The 23,645-nt window shown below is 41.7% G+C and overlaps 1 long non-coding RNA gene across 1 annotated transcript, besides 4 other annotated features; it reads right to left on the minus strand.

The window, feature by feature from the left end:
- Nucleotides 7,576-7,870: an enhancer, noted in NCBI's record as "tiled region #14523; HepG2 Activating non-DNase unmatched - State 24:Quies". NCBI's record gives its function as "activates a minimal TATA promoter and a strong SV40 promoter by Sharpr-MPRA in HepG2 cells {active_cell/tissue: HepG2}" and the evidence as "EXISTENCE:reporter gene assay evidence [ECO:0000049][PMID:27701403]".
- Nucleotides 7,576-7,870: a silencer, noted in NCBI's record as "tiled region #14523; K562 Repressive non-DNase unmatched - State 24:Quies". NCBI's record gives its function as "represses a minimal TATA promoter and a strong SV40 promoter by Sharpr-MPRA in K562 cells {active_cell/tissue: K562}" and the evidence as "EXISTENCE:reporter gene assay evidence [ECO:0000049][PMID:27701403]".
- LOC105373334 (uncharacterized) lies at nucleotides 17,132-19,714 on the minus strand. Its single transcript, XR_938580.4, has 2 exons — nucleotides 19,373-19,714; nucleotides 17,132-17,262 (listed from the first exon to the last, which is right to left on the minus strand). It is a non-coding gene; the product is annotated as an uncharacterized LOC105373334 (long non-coding RNA).
- Nucleotides 19,219-19,388: an enhancer, noted in NCBI's record as "active region_29918". NCBI's record gives its function as "activates an Ori minimal core promoter by ATAC-STARR-seq in GM12878 lymphoblastoid cells {active_cell/tissue: GM12878}" and the evidence as "EXISTENCE:reporter gene assay evidence [ECO:0000049][PMID:35858748]".
- Nucleotides 19,619-19,798: a silencer, noted in NCBI's record as "silent region_20978". NCBI's record gives its function as "represses an Ori minimal core promoter by ATAC-STARR-seq in GM12878 lymphoblastoid cells {active_cell/tissue: GM12878}" and the evidence as "EXISTENCE:reporter gene assay evidence [ECO:0000049][PMID:35858748]".

Here is a 23,645-nt window from a genome sequence, read left to right on the forward strand (position 1 = left end):
GAATCTAATGCCTGATGATCTGTCACTGTCTCTCATCACCCCCAGATGGGACCATCTAGTTGTAGGAAAACAAACTCAGGGCTCCCACTGATTCTACATTGTGGTGAGTTGTAGCATTATTTCATTATATATTACAAAAAAAAAATAGAAATAAAGTGCACAATAAATATAATGCACTTGAGTCATCCTGAAACCATCCCTCCTAACCCTAGTCCATGGAAAAGTTGTCTTTCATGAAACCAATCCCTGATGCCAAAAATGTGGGGACCACTGTTTCAAGGTATTTCTCTGGAGATGGGAAGGAGGTACATGAAACTGTCCACACTCTCCTGCCCTGAGGCAGCAAGTAGCTGTAAAATTTCTGGAAATGTTGCTGCATTTGGGGCTCAGGACCTGTGGTCAGCAGCAAGACTCAGTTTCCAGTCAAGGTGAGGGACAATCCTGGGGGCAAGGGTAGGACTCAGTGCATTGTTGGGGACAGAAGTGAGATAGCTGACCTATGTGAGTTCAAAGTGTGACTTGCCCCCCTCATCAGAGCTATCCACATGCTATTCAGTTCTGCTTATTGTCCTATGTCACCACCAGCCACTGCTGTTCAGTTGACTCATCCACGTCTCTTGTGGGTTAAAGTGAACAGTGTGAGGCATTAAAAAGAACTCAGCTTTTGGAGTTTCACATAACTGAATTCAAATCCTGCCCCTCAACCCCATTCGTTAGCTGTGTGACCTTGGGCAAGTTATTCAGCTTCTCTGAGGCTCAGTTTTTTCCTCTGTTAAATGAGGATAATAATGGTACCTAATTTTTTAAGTGCTAAGGTTTGAATGTATGTGTCCCTCCAAAATTCATATGTTTAATTTTTTTGTTTTTGTTTTTGGAGATGGAGTTTCACTCTTGTTGCCCAGGCTATAGTGCAATGGTACGATCTTGGCTCACCGTAACCTCTGCCTCCCGGGTTCAAGTGATTCCCCTGCCTCAGCCTCCAGAGTAGCTGGGATTACACGCATGTGCCACCACATCCGGCTAATTTTTTATATTTTTAGTAGAGATGGGGTTTCTCCATGTTGGTCAGGCTGGTCTCAAACTCCTGACCTCAGGTGATCCCCCCGCCTTGGCCTCCCAAAGTGCTGTGATTACAGGCGTGAGCCACCACGCCTGGCCTCATATGTTGAAATTAAAAGCCCAAGGTGATGTGTTAAGAGGAAGGGCCTTTTGAGATTGATTAAGTCATGAGGGTTCCACCCTCATGAATTAATTAGTGCTCTTATAAAAGAAGTTGGAAGGGGCACCCTAGTTCCCTTTTTGCCCTTCTGTCCCTTATGTCATATGAGGACACAGTGTTTGAACGCTCCAGAGGAAGCAGCATTCAAGACACCATCTAGTAAGCACAGACTGGGCCCTCATCAGACACAGAAACTGCCAGCACCTTGATCTCAGACTTCCCAGCCTCCAGAACTGTAAGAAATAAATTTGGATTATTTATAATTATCCAGTCTCGAGTATTCTGTTATAGCAACAGGAATGGACAAAGACATTATGGTTGGGAGATTAAATGAGATAATGTGTGTAAAATACTTAGCACAGTCCCCTGCTCATTGGATGTTAGTTTTCTCCTCTTCCTGACCTGCTTCTCCCCCCACCTTTGGGTCTATCCTCTGGCCTTCTGAAACTGATCAGGAAGAAAGGGCTCTGATATGGTTTGGATCTGTGTCCCCACCAAATCTCCTGTAGAATTATAATCCCAAGTGTTGGAGGTGGTGTCTGGTGGGAGGTGACTGGATCATGGGGGCAGAGTTCTCATGAGACTGGGTAATTTATAAAGAAAAGAGTTTTAATTGACTCACGGTTCCACATGGCTGGGGAGGCCTCAGGAGACTTGCAATTATGGTGGAAGCCAAAGGGGAAGCCAGGCACATCTTACAAGGCAGCAGGAGAAAGAGAGAGGGAGGGGGAACTGCCAAACACTTTTAAACCATCAGATCTTATGAGAACTCACTCACTATCATGAGAACAGCATGGGGGAAACGACCCCATGATCAAATCACCTCCCACCAGGTCCCTCCCTCAACATGTGGGGATTACAATTCAAGATGAGATTTGGGTGGGGACACAGAACCAAACTATATCACTGCCTAACCTCAAAGCCCACACTCTTTCCTCACTGAACATCAAGAAGCAGTTTCTCGGGAGGCTGAGGCCGGGGAATGGCGTGAACCCAGGAGGCGGAGCTTGCAGTGAGCCGAGATCGCGCCACTGCACTCCAGACTGGGTGACAGAGTGAGACTCTGTCTCCAAAAAAAAAAAAGAAGCAGTTTCTCACTTTTTGGGTCCACCTATCACTTTATTTGAACTTCTAGCACCTAACTCATACTGTCTTGAATTAGGAAGCCATGAAGTACATAGTGGTTAAGCACATGGGTTCTAGAATAAGGCAGCTCTGTCTCTTACTACATAGGTAACTTTGAGCAAATTATTAACCTTTCTGAGCCTTAGGTGCCTCATCAGAAAAAAGGGCTAGCACCTAGCTCCCATTGTTACTGAAAGGATTAAAAGAATCAATACCTATAAAGTACTCGGCACTGAGTTTGGTTCTTATAGTAAGGGAAGCATTGTGTAAATGTTACATATTCCCATGGGTATTTGTATATATCTCTGACTTATATGAGATAGTAACACTATGTCTTATTCGTTTTTATATTCTCACCAGCAGTGCTGTTGCCCAAAGCAAATACTCAATAAATGTTTGTTGAATGAAAGAAGGAATTGTATATTCTTGTTAATAATTGCTCTAGGTTTATGATCCATATCAAGTGTCTCTATTTGGGCAAAATCATCACAACTTGTCCAACTGGTTCTTAGATGGGTCAACACTAACAGCTAACAGACATACACAAAGATGTGACCATCTTCCCTCTCCTCATTGTGTAGTAGTTGTTTTTACTGGATCAATGCAAAAAGTGGAGTGGGGAGAGGACATCTGAAGAAGGATGACCCTGGCCAGCAATCAGAGAGATTTCATAACAGCAAGAGCCCCAACCCCCTCATTATGCAGATGGAGAAACTGAGGTCCAGAAAGGAAAAGTGACTTACCCAAAGCTACACAGAAAGCTGGTGGCAAAGTCAGGACGGAGCCTAGGTTCAACTAAATCCCAACTCCTATTTTTCCTTCTGTGTCTTCCCAGCATAGAAGTAGCGCTCACTGGCCAAGCAGTCCCCTAGCTGGCTGCATAGGCACAACAAAATGACTGTGGTTAGGCACAGGATTCTCATTCCATAGGCCAGCGCTTTTGGAGCATCTCAGAATGAGTCTTCCCATTGTCACTCATCTAATTTGTTCCTTAAGACATAAGCTAAATTAATGAGCAAAAGAAGTTCAGTAGCAGCAACATCGGGAAAAAGTATTTAAGAAGAACTTCAAAGCTTACCCTGCCTCTGAAGCTACTTAACAGGAACTTGGGGGAAAAAAGCATGGGCCAGCTGCTAGTTGATGCCTCACTAACTAGCTTCATGACAAATTATCTTTGCTCAGTTAACCACCACAAGAGAACATGAATTTTTCACTCTCTCATTACTGAGTATTTGTCTTTCTGATACTAACGGCTAGAGTTGAGCTTTCTAACTCATCTATAACCACCAGAGCAGCCAGCACAATGCTTGCCATAGAGTAGTAGATGCTTAAGCCATATTCATGGGTTCACTTTCCCATTCTGGGTGTGAGACCATTTAAATCAGAGACATGATGTTCATTATGTGAAACTTAGCCTGGAACTTATTCTGTGAATCAAAAGATCCTAATAATCATTTTGAGGGAATAATCTCTTTGTTGGACTTTGCTGGGGTTTCTTCTTCAGCTAACTGTGTGATTCTTGTCTTGATGTCCAATACCTCTTAATTCTGATCACCAGCTAGGTCCTAAGCCTGGCCACAGACCGAGATCTTGTCTTTCACACTTGCCCTCTTCCCAAGCACACAGAGTCAAATACTAACCATCACACGGTATCAGGTTTGCAAAAATTAGAGAAGTAGCCATTTTGCAGCATAACCACATTATCTCTATTCACATCTCAAGTGTTTAATACTATATTCAAGTCACTACATGCTAATTCCTTCCATGGGACACCTTTCAGCCACTGCCACATGGGCTCCAACTGCCCTGGAAATGCTTATTCCATTTCTCTGTTTCTTCCAACTTCTTTGCAAACTACATACCTTCTCAGATCGTCTGATATATTCAAGGAACACCAGGGGTTCCCACAGATACGCCTTCCTTGACACAACACCCAAGTTCCTGAAAAATGTTGTCAGTGGAATTCAGATAATCAGCTATATTTCAAATGTCTTTGAAGGGTTCACAGTTTATTAGCTGAATAAGTCCTAAGAGAGATTCTCTGAGGTGAAGAACTGTTCCTCTGTTCCTGCCCCCAGCCCAGCCCAGCTCCACAGAATTACCCCCTTTTCCCTACATCCTGCTTCATTCCTTCTGATCCTCTCCCATAGCCACACAGGTCCCCATTCCTCCTGTTTGTCTTTCAGAGCAGTTTCATTTCCTCTGCATATCCTCTATGACGTCTCCCAGGAGCCTCCATCCTTCCTCTCCCCTACGGTCTATAAATACCCTGGTCTCCCAGGGGAGGCATGTGAATTCCTTCCTTACGCAGCAAGGCCCTGTGAGTTAGGATAGCCACTCCCAAAGGAGCAGGTTTATCTCCAAAGTCCATTGAACCTTTCTTCCTCTTGCTTTGCTGGTTAATATTATCTGGGCTTATATCATGTAAGATATTATATGTCTCAAATCTGGCACCTTTGTTTGCAGAGCCAGGGCAAAGACTGTTGAGGACACGGTATTGAGTCTATGACCAGTTCCGTTATGGGCTTAGAGTTCTGGGATAATAAGGTCAAAGTCAGAGAGATAATGAGGTCAGCTTTGTTCTATCCCAAACTCAAGTTTGGATTGACACCAGTCACTACCTGAATCCTAACCATGGCCACAGACTGAGATCTTTTGAGGTTCTTACTTTTTGACTTTCATACATTTCCCATACACATAAAGAGAGAGTCAAATATTGTACTAAAATTTAAAAGGTAACACTTCTGGAGAAAAAAGAAAGAAAACTAGCCATCTTACAGCAAAACTCCATGTGTTAATTTCTCAGGGCTGCTATGACAGATTACCACAAACTTCGTGGCTTAAAACAACAGTTTATTTCTTCTCACTTCTGGAAGCCAGAAATCTGAAATCAAGAAAGCTCTAGGGTGAGAAGTTTATGATAAATTAGTGAAGTGATAGATGTGTAAATTAGTTTGATTGAATCTTTCTACAATGTATGCATAGATCAAAACCTCACATTGTACCCTATAAACATGCACAATTATCATTTGTCAATTAAAAATAAATAAAGATAAAATGAAAGTGTAAGGGAGGATTCTTCCTTGCCTCTTTCATCCCCTGGTGGCTCCAGGCATTCTTTGACTTAGGGCTGCATCCCTCCAATCTCTGCCTCCATCTTCATCTTCACATGACCTGACCCTTTTGTCTATGTGATATCCTTCTGCCTCTCTAGGGTCTCACTCTGTTGCCCAGGCTGGAGTGCAGTGGTGTGATCATAGCTCACCATAACCTAGAACTCCTGGCCTCAAGCAATCCCCCTGGCTCAGCCTCTTCAGTAGCTGTAGCTACAAGCACCACCACAACCAGCTGATTTTTTATTTTTTATTTTTTTTGTAAAGACGGGTCTTGCCGTGTTACCCAGGCTGTTCTCAAACTCCTGGCCTCAAGTGATCCTCCCACTTTGACCTCCCAAAGTGCTTGGATTATAGGCGTGGCTGCCTCACTCTTATAAAGATTGTCAGCAATGGATTTAGGGCCCACTTGGATAATCCAGTATGTCTCTCTTGAGATCCTTAAACTTCTTACACCTGCAAAGACCATTTTTAAATGAGGTGTCAAATTTACAGGTTCCAGGGGTTAGGACATAGACATATCTTTTCGGGGGCTACTGTTCAACCCATTACACCCCACTACCTCCATTTACATTTCTGGCATGCTGGAATCAACACAGCATGAACTTTCTGCCAATTTAACCTCCAAATATCTGTCAAATCTACACGTCTCTATGTTTCTGCTGCCCTATTCTTGTTCCAGCCCTGTCATTCCTCACACATCATTCTCCATAGCAACCAGAATGGTTATGCCAGTTGGCTTGAAAACCTTCTGTGGCTCATGGCTCTTAGGACAAGACCAAACTCTTAACCATGGCATGCAAGGCCCTGCATAATCTAGCCCCTACCCACTTCGCCAGCCTCTTCTCTTGCCTCTTATCCTCTTTCTATCTGCAATGCCATGTCCCTCCTGTCACAGTGCCTTCCCAATACTTTTTCCTCCTACTGAATGATTCTCTGCTCTACCCTGTCTTCTCCTGGCTAATGCCTATCATCAATCAGCTCATCTCTAATGTCAAATCACTCCTCCTCAAGAGATGTTTTCCTTGGCCCTCAGACTGGCTGAAATTCCCCTGTAATCGCTTCTCATAGTTCACAATTCAGTTTGTGTTCAGTTAATGTCTGGCTCACCCCATCCACCCCTCACTGTCCAACTAGACTGAACTCCATAAGGGCAGGGGCCATGGCTGTCTGGTTTCATGACTGTGTCCTCAGCATCTAGCCAGTGTCTAACTCATAGTAGGTGTTCAATCATTTTCCCAATCAATGCATATATGAATGAATGAATGAATAGGTCTGAACATCTGTGCTTTGCTCCCTCAAGTTCTTCTAAAAAATGAGAAAACAATGTTTCACTCCCAGGGTTGAATAAGAATCAAAACAAGAGAATGAAAGGGAAGGAGCTTTATAAACCATGAAACGCCTTACTAATTTGAGGAATCATTACAATACTGGCCAATGTAACCATTCTTCTGGGGGAGTGGGAAGTGCACTGTGCACGACTTAGGGGTAGCAGGAGGAACAAGGGTGGAGGTGGGGAAGGATACTTGAGTTCTACATTCCTCTGGATAAGAAGAATTTCTGTGGCTCTGCTATGTAGGATAAAATTACAAGAACATTCAATTCCCCTGCTTCAGGCTTGAAGCTTATAACTGATCACCCTCTGGGATCAAGAAGAAAATGCCATTCTGCTCAGGTGTAAATATTGCCCGGAGTCACCTCGGGTATTTAGGATTTTGACTGTCTTCCTTTAAAGCATCTGACCCAGGTGCAGGCTGAGGATAGGGTGACAGCCTCCTGGGCTGGATCCCTCTTGGCTGGTGCTTCCCATGAGGTGATCCATCAGCCGTGGCACTTGCTTAAGGCACTGCCCAGCTGACAAACGGCTTTGAAGTGTGCCTTTTGGCTTTGCATTCTTCCACTTCCTGGCCTTCTTGGCTTTCACTGTTAGCAGGCAGGCGGAGGGGTTGGCGGGGCTGGGTGGGGGGGCGGGGGAGGTGGTATCACCTCCTTCCTCTTGCTCCTCTAGCACGTCCATCTAAAAAACATCCCAGGAGGCTTGACATTCCAGGTCTTTAGTTTCTTACATTTGATTTCCCTAGACCCCATCAAGTCATAATCTCCTTCCTGCAGGGAAGGGATACTTCCACCTCTTCCTCCATATCCTCTTAGCTCCTTGCATTTGGGTCAAGAGACCTAAAAAGGCCATTTCTTATTTCCATCTTGTCTTCCATTGTTTTATCCCCTGGGATATCTCTGCATTCATGGCCCTGAGATGCCTCACTGGTCTGGAATGCTCAGGGCAAGCCGATCCTCTGAATCATAGACAAAGAAACTGGAAAGAGGAGTGCTCATTAGGCTGTCATTTCCCCAGTTTCCTCCACTGACCTGGATGTCTTTCCACTGGTTTGGTGGTGTGCTTCCCCACTCTGTCCCACTGGATTTTGAGGTTCAGTCTACACAGCCCCAGAGAGGTGAATAACAAAAGCATGTCTACGCATAATCCAAGCAAAATCCTCAGTTTTGTCTCAATGATTTGGGCATCCCAGTACAAAGGACTACTTCAGTAGCAGGCTTTGGGATAATTTTCTCTAATAGTTACCACAGAATTGAAGCTGGAAAGGACCTTGAAGTTTATCTGTTCAAAGACACCCTCCTTTTTTGTTTATAGCGCTATAGAGGTATAATTGACATACAATACCTGCACAAGTTTCATGCAGTGTACAAAAGTGTACAATTTGCTAAGCTTTTACATATACATACTCTCATGAAACCATCACCACTATCAAGTTTTCATCAATCCCTACAGTTTCCTTCTGCCTCTTTGTAAACTCTCCATCCAGCCCCTCCCCTCTGCTCCATCTCCAAGCAATCACTTGGGGATAATGCTTTCAAGCAGTCACCTGGGGATGGAGGAGAGGGGAGGGGCTGGAGGGAGGGTTTACTTGTTAATATATAGTTTGCATTTTCTAGAATTTTTAATAAACAGAATAACACAATACGTACTCTGTTTTTGCTGGCTTCTTTCACACAGAAAAATTATTTTGGGATTTATTCCTGCTGTTGTATGTATTAACAGTGTTTTGTGTATCAGCAGGTCATTACTTTTGAATGGCTGAGTGGTTTCCACCATATTTTGTTTATTCATTCATGTGTTGATGCACATGGATGGTTTTTTTTTTCTAGATGTTGGCTATTGCCAATAAAACTGCTATGAATATTCATATACAAGTCTCTGTATGGACAAAGACTTTCATTTCCCTTGGGAAAATACCTAGGAGTGGAATGCTAAGCCATATGGTAGATGTCTGTTTAACTTTTATAACACTACCAAACCATTTTTCAAAATGGTCATACCATTTAACATTCTCACCAGTAGTGTATGAGAATTCCAGTTCCTCCATATCCTCACCAACACTTGGTGTGGTCAGTCTTTTGTTTGTTTTCTTTATTGTGGTGAAAGGTATATATAACAAAATTTACCATTTAGACCTTTTTAAGAAGACTTCATTTACATATTTTTTAATTGTAGGTAATTACACATAACAAATTTTAACTGTTGTTAAGTTTATATTTTGTCAGCATTAAGTATATTCACATTGCTCTGCAACCATTACCACCATCCATCTCCACACCTTTTTCACCTTTCCAAACTGAAACACTGTACCCATTAAACATTAACTTTCCATTTGCGCCTTCCCCAGCCCCTGGCAACCACCATTCTACTTTCTGTCTCTATGACTGTAACTACTCTACTACCTCACATAATTGGAATAGTACTTCAGTCAGTCTTTTTAACTTTAGCCATTCGAATAGATCTGTAGTGGTATCTCACTGTGGTTTTAATTTTTATCTCCTTAATGGCTAATGAGGAAAGCATCTTTATATGTGTTTATTTGCCATCCAGATATCTTATTTGGTGAATTGTCTGTTCAAATATTTAGTCCATTTTTTATTGGTTGGTTTTCTTAGTATTGAATTATTTTAACAACTTTATTGAGATATAATTCACATACCATACAATTCACCAGTTTAAAGTGTACAATTCAATGGTTTTTAGTATAGTTACAGAGTTGTGCAACCATCACCATAATCTAATATTAGAACATTTTTATTATCCCAGAAGGAAACTCCATATCCATTACCAGTCACTTCCCATTCCCCTACCCTTCCATCCCCTGGCAACCAATAACCTTCTTTCTGTCCCTATAGATTTGCCTTTTCTGAACATTCGTATGAATGGAGTCATACAATGTTGGCCTTTTGTGTCTGGCTTCTTTCACTAGCATAATGCTTTCAAGGTTCATCCATGTTGTGGCATGTATGAGAAATTTATCCCCTTTTACTGCCAAATCATATCCAATTGTTTGGATATGCCACATTTTATCTATCCATTTATCAGTTGATGGATATTTGGGTTGTTTTTATTTTTGACTATTATGAATAATGCTCTATGAACATTTGTGTACATATTTTTGTGTGGATGTATGTCTTCAATTCTCTCAGGAATATACCTACAAATATGTACTTGGGCCATATGACAACTCCATGTTTAACCATTTGAAGAACTGCTAAACTGTTTTCCATAGCAACAGTACCACTTTCCATTCCCACCAGCAATGTATGAGGGTTCCAATTTCTCTATATCCTACCCAAACACTTATTTCTGTTTTTGTTTTTATTATAGCCATTCTAGTGTGTGTGAAGAGGTATTTCATTGTGGTTTTGATTTTCATTTCCCTTATGACTAATGATGTTTTATGTGCTTGTTGGTCTTTTGTGTATCTTTGGAGAAATGAGCCTTTGCCCACTTTTTGATTGGGTTGTCTTTTTATTGTTGAGTTGTAAGAGTTCATTACATGTTTTGGATACTAGGCTCTTATCAGATATATGATTTGTAATTTTTTCTCTTATTCCATGGGTTGTCTTTTTTCTTTTTCACTTTCTTAATAGTGTTCTTTGATGCACAAAAGTTCTTCATTTTGATGAAGTGAAATTTATCTGTATTTTCCTTGGTGCTTTTGGTGTTATATCTAAGAAACAACTAATCTAAGAGCACACAGATTTATACCTATGTTCTAAGACTTTTATAGTTTGACCTCACGTTTAGGTCTATGCTCTATTTTGAGTACATTTTTATGTGTGATGTAGGAAAGGAGATCAACTTCATTGTTTTGCATGTGGATATCCACTTGTCCCAGCACCATTTGTTGAAAAGACTATTCTTTCTCTCATTGAATTGTAAACAGTATTGTTTCTAAATTTCAGTTTCCAATTGTTTGTTGCTAGCATATAGAAATAAAGTTGACTTATATATATTAATTTTGTACCCAGAAACCTTGCTAATGTCATGTATTAGTTCTAGTAGATTTCTTGTAGATCCTTCTAGATTTTCTATATACATGATCATGTTATCTACAAATAAAGACAGTTTTACTGTTTTACTTCTTCCTTTTTTATCTAGATGCCTCTTATTTCATTTTCTTGCCTCATTGCACTGGCTAGAACTTCCAGTAAAATATCGAATAAGGGCAGACATTTTTTGTCTATCTCCTGATCTTAGGGGGAAAGAATTCAGTAGTCAACCGTTACATGTTAACTGTGGGTTTTTCATAATACACTTCCTCAAGTTGAGATTGTTTCCTTCTATTCCTAGTTTGTTGAGAGTTTTTCTTAAAAAGGATGTTGGATTTTGTCAAGTGCTTTTTCTGCATCTACTGAGATAATCCTATGGTTTTTTTCTCTCCTTTTGTTTATTAATGTGGCAAATTACATTGCTTGATTTTCAAATGTTAAGCCGACTTTGCCTTGCTGGGATAAACCCCACTTGATCGTGGGTGTATCCTCCTATTTCTATATTGTTAGATTTGATTTGCTACAATTTTAGCATAGATGTTTATAAGGGATACTGCTCTGTAGTTTTCTCATAACATCTTTTTCCTTTTTTATTATCAGGGTAATGCTAGTAATAAACATAGCTAAAATGAAAAGGGAAATATTTCTTCCTTTTCAATTTTCTGGAACAGTTTGTATAAAATTGGTATTATTTCTGCTTAAAATATTTTGTAGAATTTACCAATAAAGTCATCTGACCCTGAAGTTATATTTGTAGAAAGGTTTTTAGCCACAAAGTCATTTTTTAAATAGAAGGCTATTCATAGTGCCTGTTCTTCCTGAGTGAGTTTAGGTGTTTTGTGTCTTTCAAAAAATTTTCCATTTCATCTAAGTTGTCAAATTTACTGGCAAAAAGTTGTTCATAATATTCCCTTAGTATTCTTTTAATATTTGGAGAATCTGTAGTTATGTCACCCCTGTCATTCTTCAAACTGGTAATTTGTGTCTTCTTTCTTCTTTTCCTGATTAGCCTGGCTAAAAATATATCAATTTTATTGATTATCTCTAAGAACTTCAGATGTTCTCTAAGAACTTTCAACTCTAAGCTTTTGGCTTAATTCGTTTTCTCTATTGTTTGTTTCTTTTCTATTTCTTTAATTTCTGCTTTGATTTTTATTATTTTCTTTCTTCTACTTTGGGTTTAATTTCTTTATCTCTTTCTAGTTTCTTTTTTTTATTATTATACTTTAAGTTCTAGGGTACATGTGTACACAACGTGCAGATTTGTTACATATGTATACATGTGCCATGTTGGTGTGCTGCACCCATTAACTCGTCATTTACATTAGGTAATCTCCTAATGCTATCCCTCCCCCCTCCCCCAACTCCACGACAGGCCCCAGTGTGTGATGTTCCCCACCCTGTGTCCAAGTGTTCTCATTGGTCAATTCCCACCTATGAGTGAGAACATGTGGTGTTTGGTTTTCCGTCCTTGCGATAGTTTGCTCATAAAGATGGTTTCCAGCTTCATCCATGTCCCTATAAAGGACATGAACTCATCATTTTTTATGGCTGCATAGTATTCCATGGTGTATATGTGCCACATTTTCTTAATCCAGTCTATCATTGATGGACATTTGGGTTGGTTCCAAGTCTTTGCTATTGTGAATAGTGCCGCAATAAACATACTTGTGCATGTGTCTTTATAGTAGCATGATTTATAATCCTTTGGGTATATACCCAGTAATGGGATCGCTGGGTCAAATGGTATTTCTAGTTCTAGATCCTTGAGGAATCACCACACTGTCTTCCACAATGGTTGAACTAGTTTACACTCCCACCAACAGTGTAAAAATATTCCTATTTCTCCACATCCTCTCCAGCACCTGTTGTTTCCTGACTTTTTAATGATCGCCATTCTAACTGGTGTGAGATGGTATCTCATTGTGGTTTTGATTTGCATTTCTCTGATGGCCAGTGATGATGAGCTTTTTTTCATGTGTCTGCTGGCTGCATAAATGTCTTCTTTTGAGAAGTGTCTGTTCATATCCTTTGCCCACTTTTTGATGGGGTTGTTTGATTTTTTCTTGTAAATTTGTTTAAGTTCTTTGTAGATTCTGGATATTAGCCCTTTGTCAGATGGGTAGATTGCAAAAATTTTCTCCCATTCTGTAGGTTGCCTGTTCACTCTGATGGTGGTTTCTTTTGCTGTGCAGAAGCTCTTTAGTTTAATTAGATCCCATTTGTCAATTTTGGCTTTTGTTGCCATTGCTTTTGGTGTTTTAGACGTGAAGTCCTTGCCCATGCCTATGTCCTGAATGGTATTGCCTAGGTTTTCTTCTAGGGTTTTTATGGTTTTAGGTCTAACATTTAAGTCTTTAATCCATCTTGAATTAATTTTTGTATAAGGTGTAAGGAAGGGATCCAGTTTCAGCTTTCTATGCATGGCTAGCCGTTTTTCCCAGCACCATTTATTAAATAGGGAATGCTTTCCCCATTTCTTGTTTTTGTCAGGTTTGTCAAAGATCAGATGGTTGTAGATGGGTGCTATTATTTCTGAGGGCTCTGTTCTGTTCCATTGATCTATATCTCTGTTTTGGTACCAGTACCATGCTGTTTTGGTTACTGTAGCCTTGTAGTATAGTTTGAAGTCAGGTAGCATGATGCCTCCAGCTTTGTTCTTTTTGCTTAGGATTGTCTTGGCAATGCGGGCTCTTTTTTGGTTCTGAAAACTAAGATAATTGATTTAGGAACTGTGATGGTTAATTTTATGTGTCAACTTGACTGGGTTAAGGGGTGCCCAGATAGCTGGTAAACATTATTTCTGGGTGTGTCTGTGAGGATGTTTCCAGAAGAGATTAACATTGGAATTGATAGATGGAATAAAGAAGATTGCCCTCACCAGCACGAGTGGGCATTATCCAATCTTTTAAGGGCCTGAATAGAACAAAAGGGTGGAGGAAGAGCAAATATGCTCTCTCTGCTTGAGCTGGAATATTCTTCTTCACTTGCTCTCAGACATCAGTGGTCCTGGTTCTTGGGCCCTCGAACTGGAACTTACACCATCGGCTCACTCATTCTCAGGCCTTTGGGTTTGGACTGGAACTACATGGCTGGCTTTCCTGGGCCTCCAGCTTACAGACAGCAGATCTTGGGACTTCTTAGCCTCCATAATCATGTGAGCCAATCCCTCATAATGAACCTCTTTTTATATATCTCTATATCTATCTATCTATCTATCTGTCTGTCTGTCTGTCTGTCTATTTATCTATCTATCTCTCTGTCTATCTATCTATCTATCTATCTATCTATCTATCTATCTATCTATCTATCTATCTATCCTATTGGTTCTGTTTCTCTGGAGAACCCTAACTAATTCAAGAGCATTATTGCTTTCTAATATAGGCATTTAGTGGCATCCTATGAATTCTATTATCTTGTATTTTCATTTTCATTCATTTAAAAATACATTCTAATTATCTTTTTGACTTCTTCTTTGACTTATGGATTATTTAGAAGTGTGTTATTTAGTTTCCAGATATCTAGGCATTTTCCAGAGATCTTTCTGTTATTGATTTCTAATTTAAATTCATTATAGTCATAGAATATACTTTGTATATACTTTACTAACTTGAATTCTTTTAAATTTGTTGAAACTTGTTTTATGGCCCAGAATATGGTCTATCTTGGTAAATGTGCTGTATGCTTTTGGAAAGAAAGTATATTCCTCTCTTGTTGGGTGGAGTGCTCTATAAATATCAATTAGGTCAAGTTGGTTGATAGTGTTATTCATATCTTCTATATTCTTGCTGATCTTCTCTTTGCTTATTCTATCAATTATTGAAAGATGGGTCTTGAAATCTGCAATTTCTATTTCTACTTGAAGTACTGTCAGTTTTTACTTCAGGTATTTTGAAGCTCTGTTATTGGGTACATAAGCGTTTAGAAATGTTATGTCCCCTTGATGAATTGACCCTTTCATCACTATGAAATTAACTTCTTTACCTCTGGAAATTATTTTTGCTTTGAAATCTACTTTATCTCATATTAATATGGACATTTCAGATTTCTTTTGATTAGTGTTAGCATGGTATAACTTTTTTCCATACTTTTAATCTATTTCTAACTTTGGAGTTAAAATGTTTTTCTTATAGGCAGTACATAGTTGGCTGTTGCTTTTATATCCAATCTGGAAATCTCAATCCTTTATTTGGGTATTTAAGCCATTTACATTTCATTTAATTATTGATACACTTAGGTTTAAATCTATTGTTTTGTTATTTGTTTTCTATTTGTCCCATCTATTCCTTGTTACATTTTTTTTTGTCTTGGGGATTAACTGAATGTTTTTTATGATACCATTTCATCTCATTTATTGGCTTATTAGCTATGACTTTTTGTGCTGTTTAGTGATTACTTTTAGGTTTATTATAAACATCTTTAACTTACACAGTCTACCTTCAAGTGATATGTACCACATCACATATACTATAAAAACTTTACAATAGCATATACCCATTTCTCCCCACAACCTCTGTGCTATTGTAGTCATATATTTTACATTTACATATGTTACAAACCTCACACTACATTGTTATTATTTTTGCCTAAACAATCCACTATCTATTAAAGATATTCAAATACTTTTTAAAAAATCTGACCTATTTACCTGTGTAGTTAATTATTTCCAGTGTTCTTCTTTCCTTTGTGTAGATTCATATTTTCATTTATTATTCTTCTTCCATTTCTTGTAGCATGGGTCTCCTAGTGATAAATTATTTGAGCTTTCATATAACTGAAATGTTTTTATTTGGCCTTCATTTTTGAAAGATATTTTTGCCTGATACACAATCCCTGGTTAACAGTTTTCTTTTTTCTTTCAGTGTTGTAAAGATTTTGCTTCATCATCTTCTCACTTATATTGTTCACAATGAGAAATCTTGTATTTGTCTCTCTGTATATAATGTGTCTTTTTTCTCTGGTTGCTTTTAAGATATTCTCCTTATCACTGGTTTTGAGCAATATGATTACAATATGTCTCGACATAATTTTCTTCATGTTTCTTGCACTTGGCATTTGTTGAGTCCCCTGAATCTGTGCGTTTATAATTCTCATCAAATTTGAAAAAATTTTGACCATTATTTCTTCAAACTTTTTTCTGGTCCCTTTTCTTTCTTTTTCTCCATCAGGGATTCCAATTACACATATAAGAGGCCATCTGAATTTTTCCTACAGTTTACTGATGCTCAATTCATTTTGTAATTCTCTTTTCTATGTGTGTTTCATTTCAAATCATTTCTATCTCTGTGTATTCAAGTTCACTAATGTTTTCTTCTGCAATGTCTAATCTTTTATTAATTCTATCCAATGTGTTTTTTACCTCACATATTGTGGTTGTCATTACCATAAGTTTGATTTGGCTATTTTCAAAAATATCTTCCAGCCAGGCACGGTGGCTCACGCCTGTAATCCCAGCACTTTGGGAGGCCGAGATGGGTGAATCACGAGGTCAGGAGATCGAGACCATCCGTACCGAAAATACAAAAAAATTAGCCAGGCATAGTGGCGGGCACCTGTAGTCCCAGCTATTTGGGAGGCTGAAGCAGGAGAATGGCGGGAACCTGGGAGGCAGAGCTTGCAGTGAGCCGAGATGGCGCCACTGCACTCCAGACTAGGCGACTGAGCGAGACTCTGTCTCAAAAAAAAAAAAAAAAACTTCCATGTCTCCACCTAACTTTTTGAACACACAGAATACAGTTAGTTGTAATTAACTTTTTTATCATTGTCTGCTAATTCTAACATCTGTGTCAGTTCTGGTTTGATTTCAATTAATTGATTTATCTCCTTCTTATTAGTCACAGTTTCCTGCTCTTTCCATGCTAGGGAATTTTTTACAGGATGCCAGACATTGTGTATTCTACCTTGTTGGTTGTTTATATGTCTAAGTTTCTATAATCAGTGGTTCCCATCTAAAGGCAGTTTTGTTTGTCTGAAGACATTCTTTGTTGTTACAACTGGAGGGTGCTATTGGTACCCAATGGGTACAGGCCAGGTATGATGGTAAACGTCCTGCAATACACAAGACAGCCCCCACAATAAAGAATTATGAAGCCCAAATATGTCAATCATTCTGAGGTTGGGAAACCTTGCTGTAATTATTCTTGAGTTTTGTTCCGGGACTCAGTTAAGTTTGTTGGAAATTGTTTGATCCTTTTGGGGCTTTCTGTTAAGCTTTGTTAAATGAGACCAGAAGAGTATTAAGTTTGGGGCTAATCATTTCACCATACTGAAGCAAGAACCTTCTGTGTACTCTACTTGTCTTAGTTCAATCAGGTTGCTATAACAAAATACCAAAACTGGGTAACTTATAAACAACAGAAATTTATTTCTCACAGTTCTGGAAGCTGGGAGTTTGAAGCCAGGACACCATCATCATCTAGTTCTTGTGAGGGCCCACTTTCTGGTTTGCAGATTGCTATCTTCTTGTTGTACCTTCAGATGACAGAGAGAGAGAGAATGACAGAGAGAGAGAGAAAGGAATGAAGCTCTCTCCTATGTCTCCTTCTAAGGGCATTAATCTCATAATTGGGGCTCCATCGTAGTGACCTAGTAACCTCCCAAAGGCCCCACTTCCTAACACTGTCACCTTGGGGGTTAGGATTTCAACATATGAATTTGGGGGGCGAGGGGTATATAAAGACTCAGACTGCAGCACTACCCAATACTCTAATTTTAGCTGGTTGAGAGCAGGCACTATTCCCAGCCCTGTGTGAATTCTGAGCACTGTTCTTTTAACTATTTGGGATAGTTCCTTTTCAAACATTAAATAGTTTCCTCACGTGAGCTAGTGAATCTACATTGTGTTTGTTCCATCCCCACTTCACTGCTAGTACCCAACCTCAGAACTTTCTAAAGATGCTTAACACTCATCATATCCACTCTCACCCCCACCCCAGACCCACTCCTCCTCCTGTATCTCCAGTAAATGTTGCCAGTCCCTTAAGTTAGAAACTCAGGAGTTGCCCTCCACTCCTCCCTCCTCATCACCCCAATATTCAATCAGTTATCAAATGCTGTCAATTTGAACTTGCCAATGTCCCCTGCACCCTGTCCTTACTTTCCAGCCTCACTATCCTTGCCTTCTTAGACCATCATCATGTCCTGCTTTGGCCCTTCATGTGGCAACCCCAACTTGCATCTCCAACATCCCCCTCCCCCTCCACTATACACCCTCACTTCCAGTGCTACAGAACCTTTCATTGCTTATGAAGCAGGCCGTGCCGTTTCACAACTCTATGTCTTTGCACATGCTATTCCCTTTGCCTGAAATATAGTTTTTCTGTTTTCTGCCTGGCAAATTACTTCTCATACCTTAGATGTCACCTTCTCTGTCAAGCCCTTTTTGATTTCTCGAGGCACCTATTCACCCCTGCCCCTTCGTGCTCCTGCTATGTTCTGTTCACACTGTGTTAACAACATTGGTCACATCTGTTTGCACTGCTGCTTTCCCCATTGCTATAGCTCCTAGGGATCTAACAATCCCTGTAGGTGCTTGCTATGGACTGACTTCTGACAACTTCCAAAAAACTCATATGCTGAAGCCCTAACCCCCAATATCACTATACCTGGAGATAGGCTCTTCAGCAGGTAATTAAGGTCAAATGAGGTCATAAGGGTGGAGCCCTAAGCAGACAGGACTGCAGCCTTATAAGAAGAAGAGATCTTTCTCTCTCTTCCTCCGCCACGTGAAGACATAGCAAGAAGGCAGCCATCTTACAAGCCAGGAAGAGAACCCTCACCAGAACTTCACCATGCTGGCACACTGATTTTGGACTTCCAGCCCCAAAAAGTGAGAAAATTAATTTCTATTGTTGAAGTCACACAGTCTCTGGTATTTTTATTATGGCAGCCAGGCTGACTACTACAGTGCTTAATGCATGGTGAGTGCATTTTTAAATGAATGGAAAAGGAAGAAAGAAACAGAAGAGGAAGAGGTGGAACAAATGGGGAGAAAGATGAAGAAAGCAGAAGTTAAGAATGAGAGAAACTAAGGAAACAGGAGGAAGAAGGTAGAGGATGGGAATGAGCTCATGAAGGAGCCAGTATCTCAGTGGAGACCATGCCAGTGTGAGGGAACTACTGCCAACTAGGAGGCAGGTGGGTGCAGGCTCCAGGGCCAGTGCTGAGCATCCAGGCACAAGACTTTTAAGAGAGAGTGTGTGTGTGTGTGTGTGTGTGTGTGTGTGTGTGTGTGTGTGTAATTTTTTCCCCTAGAGATAGCCTAGAGGGGCCACCTTTGTGCTTTTCTCAGAGGCTATGTGTCCTCATTGGCTGGGTAACAGCTGGGTGCCCTTGCCTCCCCGGCCAAAGGCAGCCGCCGTCCACACCCAGCTGCCTGAGGGACAAGGAGGGTGTTTACCCAATGGCCTGTGTCCTTAAAGGACTCTGCTCTCAGTTACACAGCAAACAGCTGGCCTCGAAGGGGCCTCGTCCTGGCCGCCGCGAGCGGGCGGCTTCTGCAGCGTTTAAGCTTCTATCTACCATGAAGATGCTTCCCCCACCCTCATGCCTCCTCCCGGGGGTGGGCATGAGGGGCACTTACGAGCTGAGACCTCACAGGCGACATTTTTTAAGCTGCTCATTCTGACGGAACAGTCCCCAAGACAAACACAAGGCTTTCTGTCTCCCAGGGCTTGTGCGACTTGGTTTCAGACTCTGCCACCCACTGCCGCAGACAGCGGCCGTCTTCCCAGGAAGAAGACATTTCCTGGCGGGGTACCGGGACTGACGGGCGGCGGCGCAGGGCAGTGCCAGCCGGGCCCAGGAAGTGAACGCGCTGGGCCCGCGAAGGAGCGCGTCGCCCGCCCTGAGGGGGGCAGTGCAGCGCCCACCGCGCGCCTTCGCCAGTCCCCTGGCACCGTTGCCCTGGCCAGGGGCCGGGAGAGGGCGTGGCAGCGCGGCAGTGCGCCTACGCACCGGGGGCACTGGGGATCCCGCCCCCACGCTGGTTCCCGCGCTTTCAAGAGCCTCAGAGCCCCGAGACAAGGGGGTGTCGGCTCTACCCACCTGGCCCAGCCCGAAAGAACAGGGCCAACATTTTGAAACCAAACCAATAATAGAATTGGAATACTTTTGATCACTTTTTATTTTCCTTTTCTGGAGGAGAGTTGTGGGGCGGGGGTGGGGAGCTGGTAGAGAGAATCTCAGGGCGCTGTGGCTTTGAGGGCGGGTTCCCTGCGCAAGCAGCAGTGCTCACAGTGCGAGCAATCATGGCTAGGCCCAGCCCGCGGTTAGTTGGGTGCAGGGACGTGACAGGACCGCGAGGGCTGATTCTTTAGTCTATTGTTCCCACTCCTCAGAAAGGACTCCTAGCAAATATATACTGCTAGTCCCAGCTTTCCCGATGGAATGGAACCCCTTGCTTTGCTTTGCTGTCGCTATTCAGGATGGGGATTTTGTCCATGCAGAAAGACATTTACATTATCTACACTGGAATGCCGGCCCACTAGCCTGGCAAAATGCTGAGCCAGCTATTAGATCTGGACTCGTGGAGGAGTGGAGATTTGCCTCCATTCAAGCAACCACATACTTCCCTGGAAGCTGGGAGGAGCACCACTAAGTCCACCCTCTCCTGCCTGGCTCCTTGGTAGTGCTTCTCAAACATTATCACTTGGACAAATCACCTGAGGTCCTTGTTAAAAGTCTGATTTAGAAAATCTGGGGAATCCGGTGGCACCCGAGACTGCATTTTTAACAAGCTCCCAGGTGATGCAGCTACTGCTGTGCACCACACCTTGAGAAGCAAGGGGTACAACATTGCTCTCAACTGCGGCTGCACATTAAAATTAACTTGGGGAGCTTTAAGAACTAATTAGGCCAGGACCCCCACCCCCAAGATATTCTGATTTAGTTGGTCTAGGTAGAGTCAGGCCTTTTTTTTTTTTTTTTGACGGGGTCTCTCTCTGTCGCCCCTGCTGGAGTGGCGGGATCATGGTTCACTGCAGTTTCAAACTCCTGGGCCCAAGCTATCTTCCCACCTCAGCCTCCCAAGTAGCTGGGACAACAGGCGCAAGCCACCATGCCCAGCTAATTTTTTTTATTTTTTGTAGAGACAGGGTCTCCCTATGTTGCCCAGGCTGGTCTCGAACTCCTGGGCTCAAGAGAGCCTCCTGCCTCAACCTCCCAAAGTTCCGGGATTACAAGCGTGAGGCAGCCACCATGCCTGATCTGGGCTTTTTTTTTTTTTTTTTTTTTTTTAATTAAGCTTTTTGGGTGATTATAATGGGCAGCAGGATTGAGAGCTAATGGTACAAGCAGCTATGAGGAAGGACTTTGGCTGTTGCCAGGCCTATTGATTTCATACTGGGCCCAACTGTAGGGTCCAGTTTATGACCAAGATTAGGAATTCAGTTTGTGATCAAAGAACATAATTTGTCCATCTGGCTTCAAACACTTCATCTTACCTCACATTCATTCAATCATCAAATATTTATTGAGTCACTGTATTGGGCACTGTGCTAGCTACTAAGGATTCAGCAGTGAGTCAGACAGACATGGGAAGGTGGTGACATGTTTAAGCAGGCAGGTGACATGATCAGATTTGCATTTTAAAATGATCAGTCTGGCTGCAGAGTGAACAGATTGGAGGGGGGCCAAGTGGCTGTGTACAGAAGCCCTTGCATTAAACCAGGGGAGAAATGGCAGTGTAGGCCAGGGTGGTGGCAGGGAGGAGCGGAGGAACTCAAGGGCTACTGAAGAGGTGAAATCAACAGGACTTGATAATAGATTTGACAGGGGGAAATGTGAGAGAGGGGGACTGTCAAGGATAACTGCTAAGTTTCAGATTTAGGCAACTGAATGAATGGGGGCACCGCAGAGAAAAAGAGGCCTGGAAGAGGACAGTATTTGGAAGGAAGGTCATATGTTTGGTCCAAGTGGAGCTGTCAAGTATGCAGTTGGATAAGCTGTCTGAAACTTAGAGGAGAGATCTGAGCTACAGATGTAAATTTGGGAGCCATGAGGATAGGGGGTGTGAATCAATCACCTGGATAAAGATTGTAGAATGGCAAAAACAAACAAACAAAAAAACAACTTAGGGTTTGAAGAACTCTATCATTTACTGGCTTGCTCTTCCAAGGTCCCTACTATTGGGCAATGCTAACCTTTCCGCTTCCTAATCACTGTCATTTTTTAAATCTCATTCATTAAAGACTTTTGGTAAAAGAGTTCATGGTTTTCTCCTCTTCCAGAAACCCTGACATTCTCATGGATGACTTCTACATTCATGCAGACATCCCTTCCAATGTCATGTTCTCTCTATTCTTTGACTTGCTCATCTTTACCTCCTGCACTCCTCCTCAAGTTACACTCTGGCACAGTCACACCTTGGGCCTTGACATTGCTTTCAGCTGTGCCACTTTAAAAATCACTCTTTCAAGCCTCCCCGCTCTGCTACCTTCTCATCTTCCAGTTTTCTTGTGTGATTATTCCTGTGAGAACTGTTCTTCAACTTTATTGGGATGGCCAGCCCACTGACCCTTCTACTTCTTCCCACTCTACCAGCTAGCTCTCTGCTTTCCTGACTTCATTATCTAGCCTAAAGCCTTCCGTTTGTCAATTCAATACCAAAGATTGGCAGAGGCTGCCATGCTCCCAACAGATCCTGGATAAGAGGTGGGGAGGCTGAGGTCTTCTGCGAGTGTGCAGAGGGTATTAAAGTTGTATGCTGTGGATTAAAATTTAGATGTGGGTGTTCTGGGTGACATAGGAAGAAGAACCTCTATTTTGTTTTGAAAGTGGGCGTACCTGCCTTTCATTCTTGCCTGGACAGGCCACAGCCCACCTCAAGCTACTAAAGTGCCTGGGGGCCAGAGGCAACATGTTCCTTAAAGAAGCAGCTGTGGGTCAGCTCAAGTGTTTGGGCAAGTGTTCAGATAAAGCTCCAGAATACAGGGTCTTGGAGCATAAGAACATGATATTAGCCTAGACTGTTGGAAGGGTAGGTGTCCCTGGTCATTTACCGTTAGTGACCTTAGATCTGATGTTTGAGTAGCACGGACTTGGGGCTAGGGCTGAAGCTGGGCCCACATTACAGCCAGAGGAAATAGCAGAGATAAAGCAAAGGAGGTGGGATGTGTACAGCACTCCCAGCCAACAGTGAACAATCTAATTGGCTGGTACAGGGTGTCTGGGAAGGAGTTTGAGATTCCATTGCCCATCCGCATCCTACACTTGGCCTTTTGCCATTTGAGAAACTAATTAATAGACACATATTGTGATAGAGAGTGAGATTGTTGGGGATTGGAGGGTCCCCACCCATTCCAGGAATGACTGGAAAGGGTCTGCACTGACCGACTTAGGCTCTTCTTGGAAGATGTCACGTATTCTAGGAGAATTGTGACCAATTGCAACCAGACACACTCTTGGTCCTCTTGGTCCTTTTTTGTGTCATGGACCCTTTAGCAATCTGTTGAAGCCTTTGGTCCCCTTTTCAGAATAATATTTTTAGATGCATAAAATACAAAGGATTTAAATGGAAACCAAGTATAGTGAAATATAGCTATCAACTTTTTTTTTTTTTTTGAGATGGGGTCTCACTCTGTCTCCCAGGCTGGAGTGCTGTGGCACAATCATAGCTCACTGTAACCTCAAACTCCTGGGCTCAAGTGATCCTCTCACCTAGGCCTCCCAAAGTGCTGGGATTGTAGGCATGAGCCACTGCACCCGGTCTCCAACATATTTTTTAAAATTTGTGATGTCTGTGCTTCATTATTAGCACATTATATAACTAAATCTAGCTGTGAGTCTTATAACTATCACAATTTCAAAGCAATGATGAACATATTGCTATTTCAAGAGATGTGCTTCATTCTAAT

Source organism: Homo sapiens, chromosome X (genome assembly GCF_000001405.40).
Source record: "Homo sapiens chromosome X, GRCh38.p14 Primary Assembly".
Taxonomy (NCBI): Eukaryota; Metazoa; Chordata; class Mammalia; order Primates; family Hominidae; genus Homo; species Homo sapiens.